This window comes from Homo sapiens, chromosome 2, assembly GCF_000001405.40.
Source record: "Homo sapiens chromosome 2, GRCh38.p14 Primary Assembly".
Lineage (NCBI taxonomy): Eukaryota > Metazoa > Chordata > Mammalia > Primates > Hominidae > Homo > Homo sapiens.
The window spans coordinates 201851364-201873633 of NC_000002.12; the positions used below are offsets into that span (position 1 = coordinate 201851364).

At 42.6% G+C, this 22270-nt stretch overlaps 1 protein-coding gene across 12 annotated transcripts in view; it reads left to right on the forward strand.

Annotated features, from left to right (window-relative positions):
- CDK15 (cyclin dependent kinase 15) overlaps positions 1–22270 on the forward strand; it is an 89122-nt gene that overhangs the window by 44935 nt on the left and 21917 nt on the right. For 9 of the 12 annotated variants that reach the window (NM_139158.2, NM_001366386.2, XM_011511650.3 and 6 more), the window contains 2 exons: positions 3511–3574; positions 20915–20963. In NM_139158.2, the coding sequence (NP_631897.1) occupies positions 3511–3574; positions 20915–20963 (113 nt within the window). Of the gene's footprint in view, positions 1–3510; positions 3575–4927; positions 5564–20914; positions 20964–22270 lie in introns of those variants that run through there. The other 3 variants (XM_011511652.2, XM_047445552.1, XM_011511654.3) reach the window with 2 other exon arrangements.

The window sequence follows — 22270 nt, forward strand, 5'->3', positions numbered from 1 at the left end:
ATCAAGGCACTGTAGGCTGTTGTCCAGTGAGAGATTTGGTCTCCAAGTTAGTGCCTTGTCGCTGCATCCTCCAGAGAGGGCAAATGCTGTGTCCTTACATGGTGGAAGGGTAGAAGAGCAAACGGGCCTGACTGATTCCCTCTAGCTCCTTTATAAGGGCATTCATCTCTGTCCTTGTGTCCTAATCACACGCTAAAGGTGGCTAAAGGCCCCACCTCTTAATACTGTTGCATTGGGGATAAAGTTTCAACATGAATTATGAAGAGAATACAAACATTTAAACCACAACAAGTCCTTTGCCCACTTTTTTTTTGGAGACCGAGTCTCACTCTGTTGCCCAGGCTGGAATGCAGTGGCTTGATCCTGGCTCATTGCAACCTCCACCTCCTGGGTTCAAGCAATTCTCCTGCCTCAGCTTCCCAAGTAGCTGGGATTACAGGTGTGCACTACCACACCCAGCTAATTTTGTATATTTAGTAGAGACAGGGTTTTACCATGTTAGCCAGGCTGATCTCGAACTCTCGACTTCTGGTGATCCACCTGCCTCAGCCTCCCAAAGTGCTGAGATTACAGGCGTGAGCCACCGTGCCCGGCCCTTTGCCCACTGTTTAATGGGGTTGTCTTCTTGCTATTGAGTTCCTTATATATTTTTGATATTAACCCCTTATCAAATGTATGGCTTGCAAATATTTTCTCCCATCGTAGGTTGTCTCTTCACTCTAATGATTGTTTCCTTTGCTCTGAAGACACTTTTTAGTTTTATTTATTCCCATTTGTCTATTTTCACATTTGTTGCCTATAAGCAGGTTAGAAAATTATACAGATTATAAATAGTTCCTGAATTTGTGTTTTACTAAACGTAGCCTACACAGATGAAAACAGGAAAGCTACACTTCAGAATCTGTGATATTTGATGTCAGAAGTGCATCCCTGAAAGCAATGGGTCCATTCTAAATCTCCTAACCTCTAACCATAATTTGTTCTATATTTATCCTGAGATCTCACTCTTAGGAATAAAAACACATTGAGAAGTCCTGAGTCTCTATTTTACTATTTTTCTGAAGTGCCTGTAGTGTGTGTGTTTACATCTAAATAATAGCTGTCACCACTTTCTGATCAATTTTAAAAACTAATTTTAAATAAGTGTTTTTCATAAATAATCCTGGATTTAGTTCTAAAATCAGAATAAACTATGCAAACTTTGAATCCATTAATCAAAATGCTTTTAGTTTCCATTCCAACAAAGGCAGATAAACAGCCCCTTCAGACCACTGTGGTTTGAAACATAGCACTCACTGGCTGCCTTTTAAGAGCCTTCAGGGAGGGAGCAAAACAACAATTTTTGGTTTTCAGTTTCCCAGACAGTGAAGGAGAGATTTAGTAATTTTCTCAAGTGAAAAAGAATTCAATAACTTGCAAATAGAAACTGAGATCAAATTTCCAAATAAAGTATATTGAATTTTTGTTTAAACTTTTAAAATCTCAAGCTTAAAGCTTTGAACATAAGATTAAAAAAACTTTTTTTAGTATCCATTTTGTTGGCTTTAGTTAAATATCATACAAAGTAACCAACCATCTGGTAACTTTCACCTTAGAGAAAACATGATAGTGGTTGTCACCTATTTCTTCTATTGTTTTCTCTTCATTATCTTTGCTTTCTTTTCACTGCACTTTGCCAGCCAACAGAGGATGTATGGGTACATGTGACTCACACCCACTTGTTTACACATGCATCTGTGCAAATACATAAGATGGTAGGTTAAAAAAAGAAGAATTAGTTTCTTGTCCCCTGGCCTTCTCCCACAAAAGAAGAATTAGTCCAGTTGGTTTTTCAAAATGGATTCCAGGATTCTTAGTGTTCCCTCGGGCTCAGGGTGGTTGATAGGAAAAGCCTATAATCCTCTCAGTCACTTTTCAGTTTGTTTAGGGAATGGATCAAAGAAGGAAGATTTTACTGGGTGGCATGATTTTTTTATTATATGAGGGAAAATAGCACTTCACTGTCTTTTGTTTAAAGACAAGCTTAACAGATGCTAAAAAGTACATCTCTCAGCCAGATTCCTAGTCAACAAGCTGATAGACACTAAGATTCTGGATTCTTCATTGATTATATTCAGTCATTGTTGGGCAATTGACTCCCTGCCATAATAATTGGGCCAGTATCTATAACCAGCATTTTACAGATGGATTCGCTAGACTCTTTCTGTAAGAGATGTTTCTAAAAAGAGTTATAGTGAGATATGCTTCTAAGAAAAGTTATACTGTAGTAGTGTAATGAAAGCTACTAGTGTTTTATTAGTATTTCACAAGAACAATGTTACTCTGTCTCCCATATATAACTGTCTATGGGCTTTTATGATTATTCTTTAAAAAAAAAAAAATACTAAGGTAATGCCTACCGGGGAACTCATGGTGCTGGCTTCATCCAAAGTCTGAGCTGTTTTGGCTTTATACTCCGAAAGACTTTATTTTCATACATCTTAACTAAAAACTGGGGCTTTAAATTGGTCATTCAAGGCCAGGCGCGGTTGCTCATGCCTGAAATCCCAGCACTTTGGGAGGCCGAGGTGGGCAGATCACGAGGTCAGGAGATTGAGACCATCCTGGCCAACACGGTGAAACCCCGTCTCTACTAAAAATACAACAACAACAACAACAAAAATAGCCAGGCGTGGTGGCTTGCATCTGTAATCCCAGCTACTCAGGAGGCTGAGGCAGGAGAATGGTGTGAACCTGGGAGGCAGAGCTTGCAGTGAGCCGAGATCGCATCACTGCACTCCAGCCTGGGCGACAGAGCGAGACTCCGTCTCAAAAAAAAAAAACATCGGTAATTCAAAGCATAGACCAGCCCTTTTTCAAGTGATGTTGTTCCCATGACAATCCATCAGTGAAAAACCAAATACCATATTCCAAGCTGCTAGTCACAGAGAAAACAAGCAGATGAGATGAATGTAATAGAAAAGACTAGAGTTAGTTTTGGGGTCATCTTTAGCCAACATTCCATTGCCTGAAGCTCAGTAATCTGAATCCTTTTTAATTTGAGCACATCAGGGAACAGCTGAATACCCATGCTGAGGCATAATTTAAGCTGTCAAGTGTCTCCTGTCAATATACATGTGGTCATCTGATGCAAGGCAAAGAGACAGTCACTCCTGCTTCTTTATATCCCTAGCTCCCAACATGGTGTCCTAATGCATGATAATCATGCAGTAAATGTTCAGTGATGAGAACATGACTTTGAGCAAGGCTGTATGATCTGCCTCAGAACAAGTGAGTCAGTAAGAATGCAGGCCCCGGACCATAGGAATGTATTACAGTTTTGCCCAAGAAACCACAAACGTTGGAAACACTCAAGTTTCTTTCTCGTATACATCAGCTGGTGTCATGCAATGGGACATACATCTGACGCTTCCCTGTTCTTCCCTGATTTGTCCTGCATGTCTCCATACCTCTTCCATCCACCTCATCTCCCCACCTCACCTTTCTTTTTCTTTGTTTGGCTTTATATAGGTGCTGGGAGTCCCTACAGAGGATACTTGGCCGGGAGTCTCCAAGCTACCTAACTACAATCCAGGTAATATTGATCTGAGCTTCTGAATACTCTGAGAATTAGTAATGTAAGGAGAGCATTGGCCACGCTAACAGGGCGTTCTTGTATTGTGAACTCAGCGGCAAAGATGGGTGTAGAGGAATTTCTACATTCATATATTCCCTGACTAATCTTTGTATGAGGAAGACACTGAAAGAGTAGCTGAGGTTAGACCAGTTCCCCAGCTCTGTAAAACACAAGTAGCAAGCTGAATAGAATTTGAAATGACTATTACTGTGGATTCCACATCCATTGTCAAATACCCAATGGCTCAAAAGAACAACTCAAAAGATGGGCTCACTTTTGGGCCCCCTGACTGTCATAAGTGTATTGATTAGTATTGAATTGCATATGTATAAAAAGAAAGCTAATGCAACAGAACAGAGGTAGAGGCTCGCTAGGCCTAGGACATGCCAAGTAAGCTGTCTGTAGGTTATACTTACTAAGAGTTCATTCATTGCCTGTAAACCTGACACTTGGTCATTGTCTCTCACACATTTCATCTTTCAAGACTGGCTTCTGGGATCGATTTAGAAGTGCTGGAAGTGTTATCCATGGGGGAATTCTTTGAGAAGCTGTCGCAGGGCCACATCAGAGGGATCAGATTAAGCAGTAGTCACTTCAAGGATGTTGAGACAGAGGGGAGGAGACAGGCACTGAACTACAGGATGAAGGATCATATTAGAAGCTGAAGAAGCAAATAAAGCCCATGCCAAAGCTGAGCTCTCACTGGCAGGGTTGAAGGGGAGGTAGAAAGGTACAGATAACGACAAGATTAGGGTGGATATGCTCCAAGCCAGATTTTTCTAGTCTTTATGGTCTTACATTGTTCCATTACTAAAAATGAAATCTTCCCAAATTGTTGTCCTTACTTTTTTTTTTTTTTTTTTGAGATGGAGTTTTGCTCTTATCGCCCAGGCTGGAGTGCAGTGGCACGATCTCGGCTCACTGCAACCTCCACCTCCTGGGTTCAAGCAATTCTCCTGCCTCAGCCTCCCCAAGTAGCTGGGACTACAGGCACCCGCCACCATGCCCAGCTAATTTTTTGTATTTTTAGTAGAGATGAGGTTTCACCATGTTGGCCAGGCTGGTCTCGAACTCCTGACCTCAGGTGATCCACTTGCTTCAGCTTCCCAAAATGCTGGGATTACAGGCATGAGCCAGCGCGCCTGGCCTGTTGTCCTTACTAACTTTGGTATGAGATTATCCTGGAAGGGTTTCCTGAGAGCAAGAAATTGTAGGTAGAGTTAAAATGTGATTAAAGAAGAGAATAAAATACATAGGGAGCTGGGGACTCTTTTTCTTATTTTCTTTAGCATCCAATACTTTTGCTTACAGCTATCCATAGGGATCTGGCATCTTGAACCACCAGGATTATGGAAGCCCTACAGCAAGCTAAAGACTAACTGTAAAGTCCTTTCAGCTGCTTTGTGAATGGTTATATCTATTGCTAAAAGGCCTTAATATCATTTGCAAATAGTTTATGATTTCTAACTATTTTTCTAGAGTTTAACACGTGAGAAAAATGCTACTCTCTGGTCACAGGACTTAGAATAGTGCCTATTTCCATTGGTCTGAGATAGAGAAAAAAGAACAAGTTTCTTGTGGAGCCGTGGTCCAGTCTGCAAATTGCTCCTATCTCCAGTTGCCATGGTTTCCAGGAGAACGTGGCTCTCATCTTTTCCTGCCCTGCCTGTACTTCTCCCTGTCCACTCTGTTCTCTATTTTCCCTCAGCTTCCTAACTGAGAATGCCAGCAGAAGTTTAGAGTCACAGATGGATTGTAGGAAACAATTTGGATGATGCCAATACAAAGCTACTGTGGTGGGCATATGCTGCTCCCCCAAACTTCAGACATTTGGGTTTCAGGTTGGTCCAGGCAATCAACAGTGATCCTTAATACAAAATGTCTTGGTGAGAGCAATAATCAAGAAACTTGGCCAAAGTGCTTCCCTGCCAGATTGTGTGCTTAATAAGATAACTGGGTTCCGGCCGGGCGCGGTGGCTCACGCCTGTAATCCCAGCACTTTGGGAGGCCGAGGCGGGTGGATCATGAGGTCAGGAGATCGAGACCATCCTGGCTAACAAGGTGAAACCCCGTCTCTACTAAAAATACAAAAAAAAATTAGCCGGGCGCGGTGGCGGGCGCCTGTAGTCCCAGCTACTCGGGAGGCTGAGGCAGGAGAATGGCGTGAACCCGGGAAGCGGAGCTTGCAGTGAGCCGAGATTGCGCCACTGCAGTCCGCAGTCCGACCTGGGCGACAGAGCGAGACTCCGTCTCAAAAAAAAAAAAAAAAGATAACTGGGTTCCAATAAAACAGAGAAAATATGTTACATTTTAAAAAATTTTCTGTTGTTTCAAAACAATGTGCAGTTTTTCTATATAAGAAGAAAAGTCTCCAGGCCCAACATCCATAGGGCTCATCATCCATTGTTTTTCTTTTAAGTTTTCAATTTAATCCAAATAAGTCAAAAATTTTCAGGTACCTACTATCTGCCAGGTGCTGTGCCGTGCGCTGGGGCTACACAGATGGAGAGGGTGCATTCTTGGATCTCTAGTGTTTGGGTTTGGATTCATTCACCCACACTCTTTCACCAGTTCTCTTTGTTACTGGGGTGCTCATTTGTGAGCCCTGCTTCCATGGCTTGGAGAGTTTGTGGCTGTGGGCCAGGCTGAGCTTATGGAGCAAAGGGAGTTGGAACCTTAGCCATAGACATGATGTCTAAACCTGGATTTGGAAATCTTAAAAGTCCAGCCTATCTTGGGCCATGGGGTCAGTATTATTGATAACTCAATCCCAAGGACTGTGTTTTAAAAGGGTCTCCAACATCTGCATTTCAGGAACATCCTCTTACGTGAGTCAATAAGTTCCTTTTGAGCCACCCCCTACCCATCCCCATCCCTGAGCTGCTGTGGCTTCTAAACACTTGAATGTCAGTGATTAAGGGGAGCAGAAGACAAGCTGGGAGCCAGGAAAGTGTCACAGATGAGCACCGTGTCAGCAGCATTCTGGATGAGCTTCCCATTCCTTTCCTTTTCATTCTAAGTAGTCCTAGGAGCCCCCAAACTTTGAATCAGCCAGTACAATTTTGAGGGAGTCCAGTTGTCCGGAACTTGGGAGAACCATCCAGTGTCCATCTACACCCATGCCTCCATTTCTAGGCCTTATCTGGACACCTCTAGGAGGACAGCAAAGTTTCCATTTGTACAGCTTTTAAAAAGTCACCTGATGCTGACCCAGTCGGATTTCTCTGACAGTTAACTGTTTTCTTGGAGCTTTGATGAGCAGGGTTGTAAGTTTTCTAGCCATCAATTCAGATTCTAGTGCCTGATTAAACCTGGGCAAGGTAAGAGGGTTGTATAATTTTGGAAACTTGCTTTTCCTTCCCTCCCTCCCTCCCTTCCTTCCTTCCCTTTCTCCCTCCCTCCCTTCCTTCTCTCTCTCTCTTTCCCTCCCTTCTTTCCTTCCTTCTCTCTTTCACTCCCTCCCTCCCTTCCTTTCTGTCTCCCCCACTCCCCGTTTTAAGCAAGCTGGCTGAGAACTCTGTGTCCTCCACTTCAAAGGGCCAGTTGTCTTATTTTGATGTGGGCAGATTGAAAAGTAGGCTTTGAAAAGTAGGCGCTTTTTTTGTTTAATCTTTTCTCTTGGGATAGCTTTCAGAGCAATATATCCAAATGTCAGTGAGGGGGTTCTGACGAGCACGGATTCCCAGACTCTCAGCAGGATCATTCTCTAACAGAAATATAAAAGTGAAATATTAAAAACCCTGGAACGTGAACTCCATCTGCAGAGTACCCAGTGTCTTGCCTGCTTTCACCAAGGGAAAAAAAATAAATCTTGAAAAAAGAGGGAGGAGAAAAAAGTGTTTTGAGTAAGAGGTTTACAGGTTTAGTAGAGCATAGTAACATCCCCTCAAAGAAGTGGGTGTTGCTCTGTGACCCCCCAAAACGCTCCTCCTTTGACTCAGCCGCCAGAACACTCACCCTCCTCCGGCAGCACACCCCCTTTTCACATGCTAACTGAGGCGCCCGTGATTGGCTGAACAATAAACTGGTCACACTTGCTAAAGGGCTGCCGTCTTTCACACAATTAGCCAAGACACATTAATCAAGCTGGCGGGCCGGGGCTGCGCGGGCCTCCTGCAGTGGGGGAGGGGAGAGAGTTTGGTGAGTCTTAATAATACTCCACAGGAAGCAATAAAGAACCGCAAGCTGGAGAGGATTCTGCTATCAGAAAGTTGGAAGAGTTTAAAGCCCCAATGGATGCCGTAGCTAGAATGGACAGGAGTTGTGGCGCTGAAGATCCCAGAAACTTAGAGCAAATTGAATGTTGGTCTTGGCTAAAATCTGCTAGTAGAAGACAGTATTGTGCATTCAAATGGCGAACCTCTAGAGACATTTTTACAAAGTTCCTTTAGCCTTCTTAGCTCTCCCTACCACTCCCACGAAAATGCACTCAGGAGCCACTCCGCTTTGAAGACTGAAGCCCTGGGCAGTGGCTATGCCAAACCATACAGTGTAGGTTTCACCATCAGAACCAATAGAAAGGAGGAATATACAAGAAGCAGAGAATACCATTCTGGATGAGATTTCCATTCCTTTCCATTTCATTCGAAGTAGTCATAAGCACCCCCAAACTTTGAATTCAGCCAGTACAATTTGAGGGAGCCCAGCGGGGAGCCCAGTCGAGAGTTCTCTCAATTTAGAACAAATTAAGAGAAAGTATTAGCTGGAAAGGTATTGGTCCTAAACTAAGCATCTGAAGGGTATTAAAAATAGTTAATTTTGGGAGAGAAAAAGTTAACATTTGTATTTTTAATAATATTTTCTGATTTTTCTTTCTCAAATTCCCTTTAAATAGATGTTCCAATGGCAATACAGAGCTGATAAGATCATACCTTAGAAATCAGTTTGCTACAGAATCATGTAGAGCTTTTAAGAGAATCAACTAAATATTTAGACATTTCTCAACTAAAGTAAACGGAGGCCTTACTCCTCTGGAGGTTGTCCAGTCACCATCTCATTAGATGCAAAGATCCTGCGATAAAGAGAAACTTTTTTTCTTGCCTACATGATTGCAGCCCAGTTGTGGTTTTTAATGTGTCATTGATTGTTTCATCCAACTCCTTTTGCTCCACTGAAAGGGTCTGTCATAGCTCTGTTTGCTTCCTTAAACACGGTTTTTGAAAGCGCTCACGCTGTGTGAGCTCAAATCCTAGCATTAATGTACTGCTGGGTTCATTTCACCAAACTCAAAAGCGCTGAGTTTAAATCCCTCTCAATTCCATTTGAGGCACCAGAAGACTTTATCCTTCTCCACTAATGGTTCCAAGTTTACATCTAGATACTGGGGGTCAAGGACAGGAGAGGATTTAGAAATAACAGTGCATGACATTAGTCAATGCATTTGCCAAATTGGCAATTAGTTCCTGATGTGCGTGCAAAGCATTTTATTCCTGTCTCTTTGATGCTTGTTCCCATAAAGAAGGGAATAGGGTCCACAGAGGCCTTCAAACTTTTAAAGAAATATCTGCTGAAAATCATGCCTGATTTGTGACATGAGCTCAGCCGCAGGGAAGCATCCGGGATTATCCTGGTTATTTTAGTCCTAGGAAAGAACACTGCACGTGGGAAGTTTTTCCACTAGAAGAACGTAATGAAAATCAAAAGGCAGGAAAGCGGTACTAAAAGCCCTGCAGGGACCAGAATCAGATGTACCATAAGCGACAGGCCAAGGGATGCCCAGTTGTTTTTCAGTATGCTTGCTTTATCAACTTCTGACCACCAGGTGGAAGCAAGAAACAGCATGGATGGCATACTGACATCGGACAGCATCGTACTGCAGCAATGCAGCCTTGTTCTAGGAATGTCTCATTTTGACCTTAAATCCAGTGTGAGAGCTTCACTGCGTCTGAAACCACTATGAGACAGAAGATGATTAAAATGATCCTTGTCCCCACTGGGATGATAAAGAGCTATTCTGCTTTGGGCTCAATGAGTTCTGAGCAAGTCTCTGTGTTTGCTGTGAGCACAAGCTAAGGTCTGCATCTGGGTCGGCATCAGCTTGGTTGTATGAGCTATTAGCCAAGGGAGTTATTCAGTGGGTTGAACTAAGGGGAAAGATATTGATAAAAGAGGCTTTAACTGCAGGCATCAATTCATATGGAACTGTAAGTCCAAGCTCCCCCTTTTACTATCTGGGGTAACTTGAGGAAGTTACTTATTTCCTAGTTCTGTAATCTGCAAAATGGGAGAAATCCTATCATTGTAAAAGTGTTTCCTATGTGCCAGACACAGAACATACACAATTGCTAATCCTATTACTGCCTGCCAAGATCGATGCTGGGTGGAGTAGCCCGATTCTACAGATGAGGAAACAGAGGCTTTCTCCTAGGCTCACAGAGAGGTGTATACTTATTGGAAATGGCTGAAATCTGCATCCAAACCTTGTTCTCCTTTCATTAATCATGTTGTATCCCTCTGTCTCATTTTGCAGGATGAGTCTGAAAAATAAATTATATTGAATTGCATCTGCTATAGTGCCTAACTTTTAGTAGGTACTCAATAAAAGTTCCCATTCAGTTTTTTTTGTTGGTTTGTTTTTTTTTTTTTCTTTTTTTTTTTTTTTAGATGAAGTCTCACTTGTCACCCAGGCTGGAGTGCAGTGGCATGATCTCGGCTCACCGCAGCCTCCGCCTCCTGGGTACAAGCGGTTCTCCTGCTTCAGCCTCCCGAGTAGGTGGGAATACAGGCGCACGCCACTGAACCCAGCTAATTTTTGTATTTTTAGTAGAGACAGGGTTTCACCATGTTGGCTAGGCTGGTCTCGAACTCCTGACCTCAAGTGATCTACCTGCCTCAGCCTCCCAAAGTGCTGGGATTACAGGTGTGAGCCACTGCCTCCATTTGGTTTTTTACACAGTGTGGAAGTTCAGCTGCTCAGTGACTTGCCATGGTTCAGACCCAGTGACAGGTGTGTGAGAACTGATGCTATCTCTGCTCCCTTAGAAATATTGGCTTTCTTCTAGAGGTCAGAAATACCTCCAGGCACCAGAACTGACTTTTGTTTTTACTTGCATGGCCTAAACCTTGCCTGAATCCGCACATCCTAAGAGCTGACTCTGAGTTTTCAAATGCCTACCTAAGTCAGTTGTGTGCCCGTTAAGGCTGTTCTTATTTGGTGATGGGTCCATTCTGCTCCCCACACCTAGACTGCAGTAATATGTCTGCCCACTCTGTACCCACAGGGCCTTTCCCTGGGAGAATCCTTGTCATCTACATGCTACATAATGGGTATCTAGTAAGGGCTACTAAATCACAGACAACATTAGTGTTACCATTGTTAATTTCACCCAAACATGGTATAGTGGAAAGAGTGCTGAAGTTTTCTACAGAGCACACCTGACCACTTCTAGTGCTTCTAGTATTTTACACAAGCCCCCTACCTGGCACATAATAAGTAGTCAGTAGATATTTGTGAAATGAAATCAATGACTAAGAGTTAGAAAACCTGAGTTCTAGTTCCAATTGCACCCTCTTGGACTCTAAATAATTCTTATTGTCTGCTTTGCAAAGAAGAACATGTAAGTTATTATTCACCTTAATAATGGTAATAATAATTGAGGACTAACTATGAGCTAGACACTTTACATATTTTACTTTACTTTGATTCACAACAGCCTTATCAGATAGAGACAATGTTGTAAACCCTACTTTACTGATGAGAGAGCTGAGGCTTTGAGAGAGGTATGTGACTTGCTTAGGGTCACCTAACCAGGAAGGGGGTGACCTAGAATATCCACACCTGTTGGACTCCAAGTGGGTCGTAGCCGTATTCCACTTTACCTTAATTATCAAAGGGCAGATATAATGATTTGGTAATTAAAACAGTGCCCTAGACTGGGGACTGGCCATAAACTTTTGCAGGTTCATTTCCAAATGATTATGTCTTTCCACCCAGACGTGATTTTAGAATCTGTGAGCCTGGCGACATATTTCAGGAGTGTAATCTGAGTGGAGTTCCTACCCTGGGACTCCAGCAGCCTCCCTCGCTACAGCTAATGAAGCCACTGGCGTTCACTGAATCTATGAACCTCGATTGGGCTCATTACTGTCTCACTTCTGGAGCGCTGCTGAAAGCTCCTGGGGAGTTACTATTAACATCTTTATTAACCCGTCCCCCAAATCAGTCAGTGAAATTAATTTAGATACACAGCCACTTTGATCTTCATTAATGGTTGCTTCTAGTTTCTACATTTATTTTTAGTTTTCTCATCTTTAATTTATTTGGTGTCAATTATTAGTTTTTATTGAGGGAGGAGTAGATGATCTTAAAGTAATTAAGATTAGGAAAAATTGCAAGTGAGTGAAAGCAGGTAAAAAGTATTTTTTCTAAAGTAAAACTCCAAGAATATATACAATTTTAATTTATTAATTAAAAAATAATAAATAAATGTTCTTAATGTTAAAAAGAAATAAAAGTTCCTTCCAAGTTGAAGAATAAAAGAGGCCTGCCTCAAGGTGCCAAATAACATGTAAATGGCTCAAACCAGAGCCTCCTTCTCCATGTTTATGGCCAGTGCTTTGCACCATCAAGCTCTGTAAAACACAGAGCTGGGGCTGGGTGTGGTGGCTCACTCCTGTAATCCCAGCACTTTGGGAGGCCGAGGCGGGCGGATCACTTCTGTAATCCCACCACTTTGGGAGGCCGAGGCGGGTGGTTCACTTGAGATCAGGAGTTCGAGATCAGCCTGGCCAACATGGTGAAACCCTGTCTCTACTAAAAATACAAAAATTAGCCAGGTGTGGTGGCAGGCACCTGTAATCCCAGCTACTCAGGAGACTGAGGCAGGAGAATCACTTGAACCCAGGAGGCAGAGGCTGCAGTGAGCCAAGATCATGCTGCTGCACTCTAGCCTGGGCAACAGAGTGAGACTCCATCTCAGAAAAACAACAACAACAACAAAAGAAACACACATAAACAGAGCAGGTATACAAGTGGGCTCACCTGAGTTACTTTAACGTTTTTAAAGTAAGGTTTAATATATTTATTTCATTTTTATTTTTCATCCAACCATCTACTTCTTATTTATTCAGCAAATATGTATTGAATGCTAGGTACTAGGGACTGAGAGAGTAAAAAATAAATATGACACTGGTACCTGCCTTCCAGGAATATAGTCTAGAGGGGAAAATAAATAAATAATACAATGTGGGAAGTATACTACAGCAGCATTGCCTGGGGATCTTTAAGAAACTAGGGAAATCTTGGACTTGGCTGTGATATGACAAGAAAGAACAGGAAAATAAAAGAAAAGAAGGAACTAGGGAAATGGCCCTCTTAATTTGGGGAATTTAGGGATAGTTTTATTTATTTATTTTTTGAGATGAAGTCTCACTCTGTCACCCAGGCTGGGGTACAGTGGCGCGATCTTGGCTCACTGCAACCTCCGCCTCCAGGGTTCAAGTGATTCTCGTGCCTCAGCTTCCCAAGTAGCTGGGATAACAGGTGTGCGGCCCCATGCCCAGTTAATTTTTGTATTTTTAGTAGAGACGGGGGTTTCACCATGTTGGTCAGGCTGGTCTCTAACTCCTGACCTCAAGTGATCCACCCACCTCGGCCTTCCAAAGTGCTGGGATTACAGGCATAAGCCACCGTGCCTGCCCTAGGGATGGTTTTTAAAGAAAGAGATGTGAGCTTGGCCTCCCAAAGTGCCGGGATTACAGGCATGAGCCACTGTGCCCGGCCACCCCTGCTATTTTATTCAAAGGAAACAGAAGGGGGAAGGAACAGATTTATAGAGAAGGTAATGAGTATAAGGTTTTAACATTTTGAGATTAAGGTATCTGTGGAACCACAAAATGGAGATATCTAAAAAGCAAGTAGAAATATAAACTGTGAGTACAAAAGTCCAGCCTAGAAATACAGAAGTCACATGCTTAAATCGGTATTTAAAGCCTCAGGTGTGAATTTAGTTGCCCAAAGGAGAGAGTGTAGAGAAAGAAGAAAGGACAATGAGGGAACCCTGTGGGGCCAGTACTGCAGGACTGGGTAGAGGGAAGGGAGTCTTTAGAAGCTGAGAAGGAACAGCCAGAGGAGCTAAAGGAGACTAGTAGGTAATCCTAGCAATACCATGGAAATCATATGGCCAGCACTCACTGGAAGAGGGCTGGGTTCCATGCCTGTGTATTCTCAATGCTGAGCTCATTGGCTGCATGTGGTGGCCCTTCAATATTTGTGGAGACTACAAGGAGTTGTCAATGTCAAATGATGCCTCATTAAATACAACACTCACTGAAAAGCATGATCAAGCCATAGGTCAAAAATCATTTGTTGGGGTAGACAGAGTTCAGTCATAGCCCTGCCTCTAAGAGAGGGGAGAGTCCTGACTATGCCCATTCCCTCCACCTTCTCCATCCACCAGGAGCAAGGCCTGGTCTCTCCTTCCTTTACAGAGACCTCAGGAACAGGCTTTAGCGGATGGGATATTTTCTCAGAATCCACAGAAAGTTTTGATTCACAATTAGAAAAGTGATACGCTACAAATATGAGTTGGAGGACCAAGGTTGAACAATGCCAAGGAGCACCCTCAGTGAGGACACTGGCTTTTAGAGCATCCTGATGATGCTCAAAGGGGACTCTAAAGCTCGGGAAGGGCCAGGTGCAGTGGCTCACGCCTTTAATCCCAGCATTTTGGGAGGCCGAGGCGGGTGGATCACCTGAGGTTAGGAGTTCAAGACCAGCCTGGCCAACATGATGAAACCCCATCTCTACTAAAAATACAAAAATTAGCCAGGTGTGGTGGTGTGTGCCTATAGTCCCAGCTACTCAGGAGGCTGAGGCAGGAGAATCTCTTGAACCTGGGAGGCAGAAGTTGAAGTGAGCCAAGATCGTGCCACTGCACTCCAGCCTGGGCGACAGAGCAAGATTCCATCTCAACAAAAAAAAAAAAAAAAAAAAAAAAAAAGCTTGGGAAGCCTTGAGCCAAATACTAGAGAAACTTCCAAGCCAGCTACCTGAGGAAGAGTGAAGCAAACAGTTTTGAGGACATGAGTGAATGTGTGTGTGTGTGTGTGTGTGTGTGTGTGTGTGTGTTTGGGGTGAGGGTGAAGGGCACGTAGGAGAAAAAGAGTTACAGATTTTGGCAGTGCAGTTTTCAAGTTACTGCTTCAGATAGCGAAATAAGGCTAACAACATTATCAACTATTTAAATATACGGTATCTCAAGAATGCATTGTATTCAGGAAATTCCAGAGGTGTAGTTCAGTAGACAGCACTATAAGATAACCTTAGGGTGATTGTGGCAAGACTATAGTAACTAGAAAATGTTTTACCTTGAGCTGAGACTCAGAATGGTGCAGTGATGTTTTACTAAATCAATCAACAAATCTCTGTTGACTAAGGTTACCAGATTTGAATTCCGTTGTGAAATGAGCTTTATTAAATATTTATGAAAAATGGACGGTTTTTACTATGGTAGCAACAGTTCTGCCCTCATTTTGATTTCACTCCACTTAGTTTGGAAATTTAAATGCTCTGCTTTATTACTTTCCTTTTGCAACTTTGCTTTTCCTGCCTCGAATTCCAATTGAACTCAAATGAGAACTCTTTTTAGAGAGAACTGCAGAGGGATGAGAAGGAGAAAAATCAGGTCTAATGATTTACTCTTGTCTTTGGAAGGAGAAGGGAAACAAGCTACCTCCAGACCTATTATTTTTAGAGGCTATTGAAGCCAGAGAAACCAGACTCCTCTTGAAATGGTGCTGTGTGAAATGCCTATCTGTTTGTGGATCATTCTCTCACTGATCACTCACAGCTTACCTACTGGGAAAAATCAATGGGAGAGAGGCAAGGTCATTCAGCCTCAGGTTATCTGCCTGAGTGGGAGGGCAGGCCACAAACAGGCGATGGGCTTTGCTTCTGCTTAATAGCAGCTCCCTGACTGACCCGGACACATCCATTCCTGTCTCAGCTAATGTAGCTACAAAATAGAGGTGGGAGGGGCGTCAGCACAATCCTTCTACCCCAAACATGGACTCAAGTACAAAATGTTGTTATTCCTGGGGTCCTGGGGCAACTATTACAGGTCATCCTTTTCTGGCAGAATTTACGAGAACTGAATTTTCCCTTGTCATGCTTCCTCTCTCACATCCCTGAACAAACATATTAAGTATGTGTCAGACACTGTGTTCTGCAACATGTATATACATTGATTAATTAAATTCTTACAACAACCTCATTTGAGTTGTTACAGATGAGGAAATGAGCCTCAGAGAAGTGTTTGTTGAGTTGCTGGTGAGTGATAGACCCTGCCCTCTTTGCTAGACCAAAGGTCCTCTGCCTTAGCTCCTCGCTGGAAAATTCTGGAGACCATTGAAGACATAATAACAGCCCAGGCATGGTGGCTCATGCCTGTAATCCTAACACTTTGGGAGGCTGGGGCTGGAGGATTGCTGGAAACTGGAGTTTGAGACCATCCTGGGCAACATAGGGAGACCCCATCTCTACAGAAAATTTTAAAAATTAGCCAGAAGTGGTGGTGTGCACTTATGATCCCAGCTACTCAGGAGGCTGAGGCAGGAGAATGGCTTGAGACCGGGAGGTCAAGGATGCAGTGAGCTGTGATCATGCTCATGCCATTGCACTCCAGCCTGGGCAACAGAATAAGAACCTCTTTCAAAAACCAAAAGAAACTCATAATAACAGTACAATAAGTAACCAATGTCTGGACCCTTCCCAGGCTAGTTGAATCAAACCTCAGGGCTTCCTTTCTCGTAAAGGTTTCCAGACGATGCCAGTATGCAGCTCCCTTTGAGAACCTACCTCTCCAAAATGAGAGGTCAGAACCAAAAGAAGAAAAGGAATAAGATTAACACTTACTGAGCCCCTACGACTGGCCACGTGCTTAATCTTTTGTAATTCTCCCAGCAACTGGAAAATGATTCCCATTTTACAGATTTGGAAACTTCTCAATTATTTAACCAGAGAGGCTAAGCAATTTCCCTAAAGTCTCAAAGCTCGTAAGTGGCAAAAAGGAGACTTGAGCTTGGGCTTGTGTTCATGTTACCATACTACCAAGCTAAGAAACACACCACTGACCCACACTGAGGACTCAGAAGAAATCAAGTCAGACTTAGAGGAACTGGGGCTTGGAGCAAGTTAGAATTTTAGTAGAAGACATTTAGAGGAGGTTTCCAAGGAGAACTAACAATAAGGCAGAAACACCTGAGTGGGAGAGAGAGGGATGTTATGTCAGAAAGGGAGAGAAGCAGGAAAAAAAGAGACAGAGTGAAGAAATTTTTATATTACATTTACTATCCTACTTTCACAACCCTATGCAGTAGAAACTATTACTATCCCTCTTCTGCAGGTGGGAAAACTGAGGCCCAGTGAGGTTAAGCAATATCTTCCGGTCACACAGCTGGTAAGAGGCATAGTGTGGGTTCACCCGGGTCCTGGGTCCAAGTGCCTGGCCACGCATTGTTTATACTGCCCATAACTTTTCAAAGGAAGGGAAAGAGGAAGGAAAAGCAGATAGGATTTATTTTGTTTAATGGTCCAGAGCAGGCATTTTGCACTCATTATTTCATTGGTTCGCTTCAGGTGAATACCACCTTCAATTTGCATTGAGAAAACTGAGGGTTGCCCCTACAGAATGCGAGAAAATTTTTGCAATCTACTCATCTGACAAAGGGCTAATATCCAGAATCTACAAAGAACTTAAATAAGTTTACAAAAAAAAAAAACCATCAAAAAGTAGGCAAAGGATATGAACAGACACTTCTCAAAAGAAGACATTTATGCAGCCAACAGACACATGAAAAAATGTTCATCATCACTGGTCATCAGAGAAATGCAAATCAAAACCACAATGAGATACCATCTCCCACCAGTTAGAATGGCAATCATTAAAAAGTCAGGAAACAACAAATGCTGGAGAGGATGTGGAGAAATAGGAATGCTTATACACTGTTGGTGGGAGTGTAAACTAGTTCAACCATTGTGGAAGACAGTGTGGCGATTCCTCAAGGATCTAGAACTAGAAATACCATTTGACCCAGCAATCCCATTACTGGGCATATACCCAAAGGATTATAAATCATGCTACTATAAAGACACATGCACATGTATGTTTATTGTGACACTATTCACAATAGCAAAGACTTGGAACCAACTCAAATGTCCATCAATGATAGACTGGATTAAGAAAATGTGGTACATATACACCATGGAATACTATGCAGCCATAGAAAAGGATGAGTTCATGTCCTTTGCAGGGACATGGATGCAGCTGGAAACCATCATTCTGAGCAAACTATCGCAAGGACAGAAAACCAAACACCGCATGTTCTCACTCACAGGGGGGAATTGAACAATGAGAACACTTGAACACAGGGCGGGGAACATCACACACCGGGGCCTGTCATGGGGTGGGGGGCAGGGGGAGGGATAGCATTAGGAGAAATAGCTAATGTAAATGATGAGTTAATGGGTGCAGCAAACCAACATGGCGCATGTATACCTGTGTAACAAACCTGCAGGTTGTGCACCTGTACCCTAGAACTTAAAGTACAATAATGAAAAAAATTAAATTAAAAAAATCAGAAAAAAAAAGAAAGAAAACTGAGGGTTGCCATGGATGGTCAAAGTATCTTACATGAGGTCTCAGCAAAACTGAAGCAGCAGAGTCTGTATTGAAACCCTAAGTCAGCTAACCCCCAACCCATGTGCCACAAGAACCCCACTCAAGTTAGAAAGAGTATTAAAATATTGGAGGCCAAAAACACAGCACATAGACCTCTCAGAAGGGAAAAATAGAAAATGGGAAAGGATGGAAATGGATTTCATTTTGTTGATTGAAATTGGGAGATGACTGAATGAGGAAATATTTTGATTTTGTTTGGCCAGGGAAGAGCTGTAAATAGGCAGCAGAAAGTGGTTTGAAGAGAAACATACTAAACAAATGCCAGATATTCTTATCTTTACTGGTTATTTTGAACTTAGGCAAAATCATACTGAACAGAGAGTAAATAACCTGTATAGACAATTGCTTCTCTTAGTGCCCACCTGGGACTATAAAATGCCAGCAGAGAGGTCCACATTTGATTGCGCCTGACCTTGAAAACTCAGCTGAAGTCACTTTCTTTGATCACTCCTTTCACTCTACAACTCTTAGCACTATGAATTCAAATTTTCATTGAACTTCCTTTTGAAATTACAAAATAATATTGTATATGCTTTATTTCAAAAATGTTTGAGAAAATGGGCAAAGAAGGAAAAAGGGTAAGCCCCTGTAACCACCACCACTATCTAGTGAGTAGTCTTCCAGATCTATGTGCATGCCAACATGAACAGATGAGTATTATCAAATTAATTTTTGCCCAACATGATTAAATTCTTTGTTGTGATGAACAGCCTTGGTTTATTCCATTTATATAGGAACTGGAGGAAGAGATTTTTAAAACCAAAATAATGGTTGGGAACGTTGGCTCATGCCTGTAATCCGAGCACTTTGGGAGGCTAAGGTGGGAGGAACACTTGAGGCCAGGAGTTTGAGACCAGCCTGGACAAAAAAAAAAAAGCGAGACTCCCATCTCTAAATAAATTAAAAAACAAAACAAAACAAAAAAAACAGACGTGGTGGTGTATGCCTGTCATCCCAGCTACTCCAGAGGCTGAGGTGGGAGGATCACTTGAGGCCAGGAGTTCCAGGCTGCAATGAGCCATGATCATGCCAGTGTACTCACCAGCCTGGGTGAGATCCTGTCTCTAAACAAACTAACAAACAAAATAATTACATTTCAGGCCTAAGAAAAATATAAGGCAGAAATACCATTTTGAATGAGAGTTGAAATATTATTTTCTCAATTTGGAGTGGACAATAAAGGAAATTTGATAAAGAGCATCCATCAGCTTGCCTCCCCTGCAGCTCCTCTTACATAGAAGAAGCCCTTACATAGAAGAAGCATTCAGTTAGTATTTCTTGAGTGAATGAGAAATCATTCCCTTTTAGGATGGTTTTTGTTTGGGTTAAATGGTATCAATACTAAGAATCATGAAAACACATACACCCAAATATAAATGTTATAGAGTGCTCCAATTTTTATTATCACCTATTTTGGAATATTCAAGCCAGGATTCACTTCCATTTTTACCACAAGTGACATATAAAATTAGCTCCCCTTACTTTATTTTTTATTTTTATTTTTATTTATTTATTTTTTTGAGACAGGGTCTTGCTCTGTCTCCCAGGCTGGAGTGCAGTGGCACAATCACGGCTCACTGCAGCCTCAACCTCCTAGGCTCAGGTGATCCTCCCAGTTCACCCTTTCAAGTAGCTGGGACTATAAACACATGCCACCAGGCTCAGTTGTTGTTGTAGGGACAGGTCTCACTATGTTGTCCAAGTTGGTCTTGAACTCCTGGTCTCAACTAATCCTCCAGCCTGAGCCTCCCAAAGTGCTGGGATTATAGGCAAGAGCCACCACGCCTGGCTCCCCTGACTTTTTTTTTTTTTTAACCACTTTTGAGTCTTTAAGACTGCCTCATTATTCATCACATTTCACGCGCGTATACTTGTTCTCCCAAATGAATTGTAAGCTCTGCAGAGGTAGTGGGGTTTCTTTTGATCTGTTTTGTATTCTTCCCAGCACTTGGTACATGCTCTGCACACAGTGTATGTTAAACAAATGTTTATTGACTTTACTGAATATGTTGACTGTATTAGTTTGCTGGAGTTGCTGTAACAAAGTCACAAACTGGGTGGCTTAAGCAACAGAAATTTATTGTCTTACAGTTCTGGAGACTGGGAAGTCTGAAATTGAGGTGTTGGCAGAGTTGGTTCCGTGGGAGGGATGTGAGGGAGAATTTGTCCCAGGTCCCTCTCCTTGGCTTGTTGATGGTCGTCTTCTCCTTGAGTCTCTTCGCCTCACCTTCTCTGACGCACGTCTATTTCTGGGTCCACATTTTGCCTTTTTAGGAGGATGTGAGTCAAATTGCATTAGGGCCCACCCTAATGCTTTCATCTTAACTAATTACATCTACAATGACCCTATTTCCATATAAGATCATATTCTAAAGTAATTGGGGTTAGGACTTCAACATGTGAATTTTGGGAGCACATAATTCAACCCATAATAGTGACCTTTCACCAAATCATAAAAATTCAGCAGGAGATGAGGCTTTAAAAATCACATTAGCCTACCTGATACTTGAATCATTTTTTTAAACCAAGCCAAGAAGAGCATTTAGAATTTTAACAGTATATTTGGCAACAGGGTTTTCGGGTGGATTTTATTTTTTAACGCCCTCTGTATGCTTCCCAGAATGGTTCCCACTGCCTACGCCTCGAAGCCTTCATGTTGTCTGGAACAGGTGAGTACTACCTCAGGAAGGGATCTTTAAGGGATCTTTAAGCAGGATTGGAGAGACATTTCCCTGGATCTCAGTCCACTGAACAGCAGCCCCCGAGCACTTCCATGTGGGGGCTCTAAGCTGTAGGAAGATGCCTCTGGAAGCGCCAGACCCCTGAGAGTCTGTTAATTTTTTTCTATGAACCATTTTACTTTCAGTGAGTTTGGTCGTTAAAATTGTTTTGTGTCCCTCAGCCATGCCCCAGGCCCTGAGAACGAGGGAGTGTTGGTCTGCAAGAAAACCTAGTGGGTTTATTATTCTCTGACACAGAGAAACCAAATAACATCATTGAGTGGCTATTGGAGGGGGGGCAACTTGATTCATGGGGGTCATGCTTTCCCAGGCCCTCTCTACGCAGTCTCGGCTCAGACCAGGGCAGACTTTTATTACCAGCTTTCAACAAATCCCTAGTTTCTTTTGCAAAGTAAAACAGATAATAGAGACATTCCGGGAATAGTTAGCTAACTAAGCTGTGCCAGGCAACCTCCGGGCTAAGAAGAACTCAGTGTTTTCGGACAATGACCAATTACAATAACCAGTATTATTTGATCTGAGAGTAATTAGCCGAGGCTCTGTTCTTTTTGCTTCAGTGAGGAGGCAAAAAGGGCAATGAGGAAAACATCAGAGACAGGGGAAACGAGCTCAAATGTCAGAGAAAAACACAGTCTTGCAGGTGGGGAGAAGTGGAAGAGTTTCACTGGCCAAGATCCTGACTGAACACTCGAACATTGTTTTTCCCTGAAAATATGGTAGAATTTAACTTAACCAAAAGTTGTTTGAATTCTTCACTCTTACTGTTCATTTCCTTTAAAAAGCCTCCACGTAGAATAAAATATCAGGGTACAAAGAGTAAAATAGGTTAGGAACATAGAACTATGGACTACCAGAGATCTTTCACTGGGAGGGACAGGTATCTCCAGGACATCTGCACCCTCCACTCTTATTTTCAACAGCACTGTATAACCTGAAACCTTTTGGAGACAGGTTCTAGGGAACTACTGTTTATCACTTCATTCAAGACGTGCAGTATAGTCAGGCTCCTTCCCCTCTACCTAGAGATATGTGGATTTTAGCATGGCCCGTGGCTTTCTTTCATGTCACTATCAGCTTCCAAAGTAAATGGCAACTCTCAACCTGAGAACCATCTTAATACTCCATGCTGCTGCTGCTGCAGCTGCCCCTGTCCCATGGCAGAAGATAGTTCACCAGCCTCCTGCTATCACCCCACCAGCCTTTCTTTCGAGGGCTGAGCAAGGCTTGAATTCTCT